The 11,531-nt window shown below is 44.2% G+C and overlaps 1 long non-coding RNA gene across 1 annotated transcript, besides 1 other annotated feature; it reads left to right on the top strand.

The window, feature by feature from the left end:
- The first annotated feature begins 1,990 nt into the window (after positions 1-1,990).
- Positions 1,991-9,541, top strand: LOC105373883 (uncharacterized). Its single transcript, XR_923917.3, has 2 exons — positions 1,991-3,692; positions 9,235-9,541. It is a non-coding gene; the product is annotated as an uncharacterized LOC105373883 (long non-coding RNA).
- Positions 9,431-9,480: an enhancer, noted in NCBI's record as "active region_17151". NCBI's record gives its function as "activates an Ori minimal core promoter by ATAC-STARR-seq in GM12878 lymphoblastoid cells {active_cell/tissue: GM12878}" and the evidence as "EXISTENCE:reporter gene assay evidence [ECO:0000049][PMID:35858748]".

Raw genomic sequence — 11,531 nt, 5'->3', positions numbered from 1 at the left:
CATATATCATTGTACATTTGCCTTGGTTTTTCCCATGGGATAAATTCTAGAAAATGCCAGCTGAACTATAGTGACAGCAGACCAGTGGTTGCTTGAATGTCAAGGATTGAGAGAGAGTTTGGTTGCAAAAGGGTGCAAGAAAACTTTTAAGAGGGTGATAGAAATGTTACCCCAGAGGTGGAAGAAAATCCACATATAAATGGACCTGTGCAGTTCAAATTCATCCACTTACATGTGGATTTGTCCCAATAAAAGTTATACCGGCCAGGTGCGGTGGCTCACACCTGTAATCCCAGCACTTTGGGAGGCTGAGGTGGGCGGATCATGAGGTCAGGAATTCGAGACCAGCCTGGCCAACATGGTGAAACCCCATCTCTACTAAAAATACAAAATTTAGCAGGTTGTGGTGGTGGGCGCCTGTAATCCCAGCTACTTGGGAGGCTGAGGCAACAGAACTGCTTGAACCTGGGAGGCGGGGGTTGCAGTGAGCGGAGATCGCACCACTGCACTCCAGCCTGGGCAACAGAGCAAGACTCCGTCTTGGAAAAAAAAAAAAGTTATACCAAGTATGCCTGGCTCTCCTGAACCCCCACCCCTGCTACCCCCTATTCTACCTCCTCCGCCTCTTCTCCCACTGTTGCCCCAACCAACCCTTCTCTTCCTCCTCCTTGGCCTACTCAACATGAAGACGACAAAGATGAAGACTTTATGATGATCCACTTCCACTTAATGAATAGTAAATACATTCTCTCCCCCCCCCACCTTTTTTTTTTTTTTCAGACAGTGTCTTGCTCTGTTGCCCAGGCTAGAGTGCAGTAGCAAGATCTTGGCTTAGTGCAACCTTCACCTCCCAGGTTCAAGCGATCCTCCCACTCAGCCTCCTGAATAGCTGGGACTACAGGTGCCCACCACCATACCCAGCTAATTTTTTAATTTTTTAAAGAGACAGGGTCTCACTACATTTCCCAGGATGGTCTTAAACTCCTGGCCTAAGCATTCCTCCTGCCTCAGCATCCCAAAGTACTGGGATTACAGGCATAACATTTTCTTTTCTCTAGCTTATTTTATTGTAAGAATACAGTGTGTAATACATAGAATATACTTCATATGTGGTAATCTGTTTATGTCATCAGTAAAGCTTCTGGTCAACAGTAATTAAGTTTACAGGGAGTTAAAAGTTATACATGAAGGCTGGGTGCAGTGGCTCATGCCTGTAATCCCAGCACTTTGGGAGGCCGGGGTGGGCGTGTCACCTGAGGTTCGGAGTTTGAGACCAGCCTGACCAACATGGAGGAACCCTGTCTCTACTAAAAATACAAAATTAGCCGGGCATGGTGGCACATGCCTGTAATCCCAGCTACTCGGGAGGCTGAGGCAGAAGAATCACTTGAACCCGGGAGGCAGAGGTTGTGGTGAGACAAGATTGTGCCATTGCACTGCAGCCTGGGCAACAAAAGCGAAACTCCATCTCAAAAAAAAAAAAAATTGGGGTATTATTTCCATATAATAAATTATACACTTAAAGTGTAAAATTCTATGAATTTTGACAGATATACCATATACACCTGGGAAACCACCACCACAATCAAGATACAGAACCTTTCCATCATCCTCTTGTACCCCTTTGCAATCAATCTCTCTCTCCACTCCTGACGTCCAAGCAACCATTGATCTGCTTTCTGTCACTATAGATTAGTTTACCTTTTTTAGAATTTTCTTTTCTTCTTTTCCTTTTTTCTTCTGAGACAGACTCTCATTCTGTCACCCAGGCTGGAGTGCAGTGACGCCATCTCGGCTCACTGCAACTTCTGCCTCCTGGGTTCAAGCCATTCTCCTGCCTCAGCCTCCTGAGTAGTGGGGATTACAGGTGCGTGTCACCACGCCCAGCTTTTTTTTTTTGTATTTTAGTAGAGGCGGGGTTTCATCATGTTTGCCAGGCTGGTCTCAAACTCCTGACCTCAGGTGATCTGCCCACCTCAGCCTCCCAAAGTGCTGGGATTATAGGCGTGAGCCACCACGCCCAGCCCCTTTTATCTTCTCTTCCTCTTTCTCCTTTTTTTTTCCTCCTCCTCCTCCTTCTTTCTCTTGTATTTGTCCATTCTCCTTTTTCCTTAACTTAGTCTATTCTGTGTATTTTCTAAGTACCAGGATTCTTATTTGTTTGTTAATGCTAAGTGTGGTGGTGGTAAACCCTGCATGCTGTAGTATGACAGTTACTAGACTTTGACTGAGTGGTGGCTGTCCTTTGTAGGCCAGGGTTCACAGTAGGGAATGCTACCAGAGAACTGAGCTCCCTGATGTTAATGGTGATAGTAGGACTTCAGAGTAACAGTGGCCAGGTGGCAACATTTTACCATCATAGTTTGTGGTGTTTTCTGTCTCCTAATTATGCTGTAAGCATGGATTGTGTGTGTGTGTGTGTGTGTGTGTGTGTTGTTTGTTTGTTTTGAGACAGTGTCTTGGTCTGTTGCCCAGGCTGGAGTGCAGTGATGCAATCTTGGCTCACTGCGGCCTCAACTTCCCAGGCTCAAGTGATCCTCCTGCCTCAGTCCCCCTGAGCAGCTGGGACTACAGGCATGCGCCCCCACACCCAGCTAATTTTTTTTAATTTTTAGTAGAGACACGGTCTCACTATGTTGCCCAGACTGGTCTTGAACTCCTGGACTCAACCAATTCCCCCCACCTTGGCCTGGTATTACAGGTGTGAGCCACCATGCTCAGCAATTATGTGTATTCTTCCCCTTCTTTCTCTCTTCATTGACAAAATGATTTTAGGAGCGTGTCTAGAAAGGCTGGACTTATGCAGCTGCCGTTATCCTATGGGGACTGCAAATGTTACTTGTTAATGCAGTAAAATGTTGAAGGGGTTTGTAGAAGACACTGTTGGCAACTTACCTGTATCCGTCACTTTTACCATTTCAGTGTACACACTACCGTTTTCAGCTGCCAGCATCTGCACTTCTTGCCTGAGGGCTTTCTTTGCTGCTTGACTACAGTTTTCCACTCCCATGGCAGTTGGAAGTGCTGGGGAATTCAAGCTCCATCCCACAGCAGCTCTAAACAATAACTGGCAAGACTCTGTGTCTGAATACCACAGCTCCCTCCCATCTGGGGTGAGAGAACTCTGAGGCATGTAGTTTACACTGGCTCCCAGAGTCCCCCCAGCAGAATTCTGCTCCAGAGATAAGCCTGATAACACATGCCTCTATTGGCCACCTTCCCTTCCTTGTCTCCCTTTCCCACTCCCCAACCAATGTTTTCCTTCACCTCCCAGTAAATTCCTGTACACAGATCCTTGTCTCCGGGTCTGCTTCTGGGAAAACTGAAACTAAGTTAGAATTCTTCTGAGATTTTTAGATAAGGATGTCTGCTATTCTATTACGATTCAGCATTTTACTCTAGGTCTTTAGCTATGTACTAAAACAAGAAAAGGAATGAAAGAAAGGTGGAAAGGGAGGAATAAAACTTTCTTTTTATATTATTTGTTATGTAGAAAATCCAAAAGTTATACTATTTGAATTAATAAGTTATTTATTTATTTATTTTTGAGACCGAGACTCGCTCTGTCACCCAGGCTGGAGTGCAGTGGTGTGATCTTGGTTCACTTCAACCTCTGCCTCCAAGGTTCAAGCCATTCTCCTGCCTCAGTCTCCCGAGTAGCTGGGACTACAGGTGCACACCACCACACCCAGGTAATTTTTGTACTTTTAGTAGAGACAGGGTTTCACCATGCTGGCCAGGATGGTCTTGATCTCCTGGCCTCGTGATCGGCCTGCCTCGGCCTCCAAAAGTGCTGGGATTACAGGTGTAAGCCACTGCACCCGGCCGTAATGAGAGAGTTTATCAATACAGCTGGCTGAAAAATCAACATACAAATATCAATTTTATTTCTACATACCAATAAAAAATGGGTAGAAAACGAAATTTTTAAAAGGTTTACTTCTACAAGCATAAAAATCAAGTATCTGTCAATAAAGTTATGCAAGATCTCTACAGAGAAAATTTGTGTGTGTGTGTGTGTGTGTGTGTGTGTGTGTGTGTGTGTGTTTTTTGAGACAGAGTCTTGCTCTGTCACCCAGGCTGGAGTGCAATGGTGTGATCTTGGCTCACTGCAACCCTCGCCTCCCAGGTTCAAGTGATTCTCCTGCCTCAGCCTCCCAAATAGCTGGGATTACAGGCATGTGCCACCATGCCCAGCTAATTTTGTATTTTTAGTAGAGATGGGATTTCACCACGTTGGTCAGGCTGGTCTTGAACTCCTGACCTCAGGTGATCCGCCCGCCTTAGCCTCACGAAGTGCTGGGATTACAGATGTGAACCACCACACCCGGCCTCTATAGAGAAAATTTTATGTAAGAAGGTCCAAATGATTTGGAAGATATCTCTTATTCATGATGTGAAACTCAATATTGTAAAATATGTTATCCTCCAAATTGATACATAGATTCAGTGCAATTCTAATAAAAATACCGACAGTTTCTCTCCTCCTCCTTGCTTTTCTTCTTTTTGTGTGGGAGTTGACAAGCTGATACTTTTTTATAGCCAAGATTTGAGCTGGGTGTAGTGGTGCGTGCCTGTAGTCCTGTCTACTTGGGAGGCTGAGATGAAATGATTGCTTGATCCCAGGAGTTAGAGATCGGTCTGACAAACATAGTGAGACCCCGTATCTTAAAAATTTTTTTTAAAAAAGAATCGAAGAAGACAACTGCCTTATTTGTTGTCAAAGCTTATTATAAAAACTACAGAAATTAAGATAGTATATTCTTGGTTCAAGAATAAAACTCACCAATAGAACAGAGACAAATGAATATTTGATACTTGGTTTATGACAAAGGTGGCAATTTGGTTTTTTTTTTGTTTGTTTGTTTTTGAGATGGAGTTTCACTCGTTGCCCAGGCTGGAGTGCAGTGGCGCAATCTTGGCTCACAGCAACCTCTGCCTCCTAGGTTCAAGCAATTCTCCTGCCTCAGCCTCCTGAGTAGCAGTGATTACAGGCACCTACCACCACGCCCAGCTAATTTTTGTATTTTTAGTAGAGATGGGGTTTCGCCATGTTGGCCAGGCTGGTAATGTACTATAATAAAGTGGACATCCCAAGAATGCAGGTTTACTTCAACATATTAAAATTAATTAATGTAATACATTATATTATAGAATAAAGAGCAAAACCCACATGATCTCAATTGATGCAGAAAAAGCATTTGGTACAATCCCAAACCCTTTCATAATAAAAATATTCAACATTCAGAAATAGAAAAGAGCTTGCTCAACCTGATAAAGGCATCTATGAAAAACCCACGGCTGGCTAGGCACAGTGGCTCCCGCCTGTAATCCCAGCACTTTGGGAGGCCGAGGCGGGCGGATCACCTGAGGTCAGGAATTGGAGACCAGACTGGCCAACATGGCGAAACCCCATCTCTACTAAAAATACAAAAATTAGCTGGGTATGGTGGCATGTGCCTGTAATTCCAGCTACTAGGGAGGCTGAGGCAGGAGAATCGCTTGAACCCGGAAGGTGGAGTTTGCAGTGGGCCGATATCGCGCCACTGCACTCCAGCTTGGGTGACAGAGCAAGACTCGGTCTCAAATAATAATAATAATAATAATTTCTTCATACCTTGCATACTTTGCATACAAAGTTGTTTCCCTCCATCCTATGATGTCTAATTGTTTTATTTATGTATACTTATTATAAGTTTTAACCCTTAGTGACCCTAATTTGCTGTGAAAACTAGGAAGCAGGCAATTGTGAACTGCCTGTCATATATCGGCATCTTGTAGTAGATTAGTAAATTTATGAATATACTATTTTATAATTTCAGGAACATATGCTTCCTAATATAGTACAGTCTTTCAGTGTGGCAAAGAACATGCTTATTAGTAGACCCAAATATATTTAGCTTCTCTATATCATATAAAAATAAGATGCCAGAAGTATATACGCTTAAATTTATGCTTAGTAGTTAATGTTTCAGTAGTTTATCTTACTTACAAATGGTTCAGACATTTAATGAATATCTACTGCTTAATTTAACCTAACTTTAAGTTTGCAAGTTACCAAATAAGATTTGGAAACTGATTCAGGCAGACATACTGTAACATCAAACAAAGCTAGCCATCATCTCAAGTTATTTTTCTTGTTGACAAATCAGGTAAGTGTAAAAAATGGCCAGGCATGGTGGCTTACGCCTATAATCCCAGCACTTTGGCATGCCGAAGTGGACAGATCCCTTGAGCCCAGGAGTTCGAGACCAGCTTAGGCAACATGGCCAAACCCCATCTATACAAAAATTGTCTGTCCATGGTGGCATTCTCCTGAAGTTTTAGCTACTTGGGAGGCTGAGGTGGTAAGAATTGCTCGAGCCTGGGAGGTTGAGGCTGCAATGAGCCATAATCATGCCATTGTACTCCAGCCTGGGCAACAAAGCTAAACCCTGTTTAAAAAAAAATAACAGAAGCAAAAAACCTAAAAATTTAAATATATGGTTCTTCTCTGTCTTTTTTTAAAAACTGCTATGCTTGATATGCATCAAGCAATTTATTTTTATTGTATATTTTATTCTTAGTTTAGATTTATAGTTTTATAACCTTAAACATCTAGTTGATATAACATTGTTTGACCAGTAAACCCAGGTAAAATAAAATTGTAGTTCTGCATTCTATTTAATGCTGACAACTCCAAAGACATTTCTGCTTTTATTTTATCAACAATTTTTTTTTTTTTTTTTTTTTTTTTTTTTTTTTTTTTTTACAGAGCCTGGCTCTGTCACCCAGGCTGGAGTGCAATGGAATGGAGCCATCTTGGCTTACTGCAACCTCCGCCTCCTGAGTTCAAGTGATTCTCCTGCCTCAGCCTCCTGAGTAGCTGGGATTACAGGTGTGTACCACCACGCCCAGCTAATTTTTGTATTTTTAGTAGAGGCGGAGTTTCACCATGTTGGTCAGGCTGGTCTTGAACTCCTGACCTTGTGATCAACCTGCCTCGGCCTCCCAAAGTGCTAGGATTACAGGCGTGAGCCACTGTACCTGGCTTTTTTTTTTTTTAATCTATATAAACAAGGTCTCACTCTGCTGCCCAGACTGGATTGCAGTGGTGTGAACACAGCTCACTGCAGCCTTGAACTTCTAAGCTCAAGGGATTCACCTGCCTCAGCCTCCCAACTAGCTGGGATTACAGGCGCCTGCCACCACGCCAGTCTAATTTTTTGTATTTTTAGTAGAGGCGGGGTTTCACCATGTTGGCCAGGCTTATCTTGAACTCCTGACCTCAAGTGATCCACCCACCTCGGCCTCCCAAAGTGCGGGGATTACAGGCGTGAGCCCCTAAGCCCGGCCTACTTTTTAAACTTTTTGTAAAGACCAAGTCTCAGTATGTTGTCCAAGCTGGTTTCAAACTCCTGGGCGCAAGTAATGCTCCTGTCTCAGCCTCCCAAAGCACTGGGATTAGGGGTGTGAGCCACTGCGCCCAGCCTGCCAACAATCTTAAAACTAATTTTATTTACCCAAAAGACTTAACAAGGCCCATGTGTTCAGATTCCTGTCTGTGTCCCCATCTTTGGAGGAAGGACACCTTTCACATGGGGAAAGGATCAGGGAGATCCCTTCAGGAGAGAAGGATCAGGGAAGTCAGAGAGATTGTCCTGCACATGCTGTTTCTCAGATCCTTCCAGCTTAAAATATTCAACATGCCAGTGTGCCATGTTTCTGGGTGGCATGTCCTGAACCCTCTTATTGGATAGTATAAATGGCTATTCACTCTGAAAATCTGTTGAGCTGTATCTTTACATTCTGTCTACTTCTGTTCATATGTATTACCTTTCATAATCAAAAGGTAAAAATACTTTTTTTAAAAAAAAGCATAAAAGCTTCTAAACACAAAAGTTGGTGTCAGAAATATTCTAAATGGAAAGAGGAAAAGAGTGGCTCCTAAGATGACTGGATTATTAGAAGTAAAGAAATGCCCTCCCTTCTTGCCCAATAAACTCCAGAAGCTCCCAGAGTGGCCCTAGGCGAGAAGAGATGAGAGGGAGGGTCAGCCGTGCTCTCCAGGGAAATCCCCTTGTTTTCCCCAGGCCAGCCCCAAAGGGGCACTAGTCTACACTGAACTCTCAACTTCCAGGCAATAGAGACCACCCTTTCTCTGCTGCTTTATTTGACAGCTTAGGAAAGACTGAAATGTTCAAACAAAAATGAACAACAACAGAAAGCCTTGACAAAGGAAAGCCAGATGCAGAGGACCATGGATCCACATATCCTAAATGCAAGGGAGAGCCTGCTCTCCAGGCTCCAGAGCCTTCCACTCATGGGCTACCCCAGGAATAATAGGGACTCCTCCCTGAGTCTCCCCACTCCTGACTCCAGGCTTTCCTCCCACAGCAGGTGACATTCCTAAGTTTGTATGCATGTGCCAGCACACATTTATATATACAAGTGCAATATGTACATAGTAATGCACACACATATTCTCAAACCTACACACATACACCTCACACACATACATAAACGTAACATATATACACCTACACACACATAAACAGACACATGCGGACTTACACATGGACATCTATACAGAAACACACACATGTAAGCATACATGCACACACACAACACAGGTGCACATGCACATACAATGTTTGCAAACATATACAGCCACAGGCATAGACACACATATACACCTGGATACATATACAAACCCATCACACATGCATACATATGCTCATTCACATACTACAAATACATACAAAAAGGCATACACATATATGCACACATGCACAACATACAAACACAGAGACATGCATGTAGGCATAATACATGCATGCATACTCGTGCGCAAAAAACACACATGTGCAATACACAGATACATATACATAAATGCATGCATACACATATGCAGACAATACATAGATACATGTCACACAAACATATTGCTATATATCCATATATACATATGCAAAAACATACACATATATACACAAACACACACATCTTTATGTACACACCCACAAACACACACCCCACATACCCACACGCACATACTGCATGTGATAGCCATCCTACAAGATGACCTCCAGTGATCCTTACCTCTTGGAATTCATGCCTTTGTGTAGTCCCTCCCACAGTGTATCAGGGTTGGTCTCTGTGGCCAGTATAATATGGCAGAAATGATGGCATGGGACTTCCAAAGCTAGGTTTTAAAAACACTGTGGCTTTTGCCTGGTTCTCTCTCTCTCTCAGGTCACTCACTCCAGAGGAAGCCAGCTGCTGTGTCATGAGGCACTCAAGCAGCCATATGGAGAGGCTGATGTGGTAGGGAACTGAGACCTCCTGCCAACAGCCAGCATCGTCTTGCCAGGAGGGTGAGTCATCTTGAAAGTGGATCCTCTAGCCCCACGCAAGCCTTCAGAAGACTACAGCCAACCCTGAGTAACATCTTCACTGCAACTTCAAGAGAGACCCTGAACCAAAAATACCCAGCTAAGCCTCTCTCAGATTCCCAGTCCACAGAAACTGTGAAATAGATGTTTATAGTTTAAGCGACTAAGCTTTGGGGTAATTTGTCATGTAGCAATAAGCCATAGATATTCTTTGCTAAAACTGGATTTTTAAAAAAAGTAATAGACAATGAATACAAGTACACTACATGTACACATATACACATTGACACACACATCCCATCTACATACACAAATACATCTCCCACACATACAAACCTACATACGCACACACAAACACACATGCATACAGTACACATTGATTCATACAAACACATGCACACACATATAAACACATGGACACAACACCCATGCACAAACATATAAACACATGTATACACATATAAACACATGTACGCATGCGCAAGTCCCGAGAACCCACTTCTAGAGTCTTTGGGCTCTTCACCATCTAGATGCCCACCTGGGGCTCCCCATAGAGCTCTGACCCATCTCGGAGGAGCTGCCTCTTCTCTCTCTTTTTTTTTTTTTTTTTGAGATGGAGTTTTGCTCTGTCACCCAGGCTGGAATGCAGTGGCACAATCTCTGCTCACTGCAACCTCTGCCTCCCGGGTTCAAGCAATTCTTCTGCCTCAGCCTCCAGAGTAGCTGGGACTACAGGCACATGCCACCATGGCCAGCTAATTTTTGTACTTTTAGTAGAGACGGGGTTTCACCATGTTGGCCAGGCTGGTCTTGAACTCCTGACCTTGTGATCTACCCGCCTCGGCCTCCCAAAGTGCTGGGATTACAGGCGTGAGCCACCGTGCCTGGCCTGAGGAGCTGCCTCTTCTCTAGGAGATTCCCACCAGAGGTGATCCTGTCCTTGAGGGAAGACCTTGTTTCCCGACAAAGGGTGGTGGCCTGAGTCTTGCAGGCCTCAGTGCAATGATAGCACCATCCCCACTGGCTATCCAAGAAGAGGCACAGGCATGGTGGCCCACCCTCTCCCTATCAAGGTGGGCAGCCTTTGTTCCCTGGGGTCAGGTGGGCTGTCTCACACCTTCCCCCTGGTGAGCTGTAAGGCAGGTCTCCTGGATTCTGCTCCTGATTCTCTACCAGACCAGGCCTCTCTGCCCTTCTGGGTTTCAAGGTCTTTCACCTTGAAACCTTGGGGCATAGCCGAAATCTACAAACCCAGAGAGGCTGAAGCTGAAAGGAACTAGAATTCAACTCACAATGCATTTGTGCAACACGAGGCTGCTTTATATCCATCATCTCATTTCATTTTCACAGTCACCCTGATGAGCTGCCCATCTAACAGATAAGAGCACTGAGGCAGAGGTGTTTCATCTGGGGCCTCAGGACCCAAAATCTGTTTCATTTTGGAGCATCCAGGCTGAGCTAGGTCCTGAGCCAGACACTGAGGATGTGATAGCAAATCAAACAGACATGTCTTCTGTCCTCTTGAAATTTACACTCCAGTGGGGAGACGCAAATAAACAAGTAAACAAAGGAAGAAGTCCATCGGCCGCGGTGGCTCATATCTGTAATCCTAGAACTTTGGGAGGCCAAGGCAGGTAGATCACCTGAGGTCAAGAGTTCAAGACCAGCCTGGCCAACATGGTGAAACCTCATCTCTAATAAAAATACAAAAATTAGCTGGGTGTGGTGGCAGGCGCCTACAATCCCAGCTACTTGGGAGGCTGAGGCAAGAGAATTGCTTGAACCCAAGAGGCAGAGGTTGCAGTGAGCCAAGATCGTCATTGCGCTCCAACCTGGGCAACAGAGCAAAAACTCCATCTCAAAACAAACAAAACAAACAAACAACAACAACAACAACAACAAAAAACGAAGAAGTCATGGACAGTGGTAAGAGTCATGAAGGTAATGAAGTGACAATTATTCCTAGGGACCAGAAACTACTTGGTGGGGAGGGTTATACTAGAACAAAGAGATAACAATGGAGGGTGGGGAGAAGCAGAAATGGCCTTTGAGAAGGACTCAGGTGTTCAAAGAATGGAAAGGAGGCTGGGAACAGAGAGAGCAAGATGAGAGAAGGAAATGAGGCTGGAGAGGAAGGCAAGGCTAGATCACGTTGGG

Source organism: Homo sapiens, chromosome 2, assembly GCF_000001405.40.
Source record: "Homo sapiens chromosome 2, GRCh38.p14 Primary Assembly".
NCBI classification, from domain to species: domain Eukaryota; kingdom Metazoa; phylum Chordata; class Mammalia; order Primates; family Hominidae; genus Homo; species Homo sapiens.
Note: the sequence above shows the minus strand (reverse complement) of the source record. Positions and strands in the feature narration are given on the sequence as shown.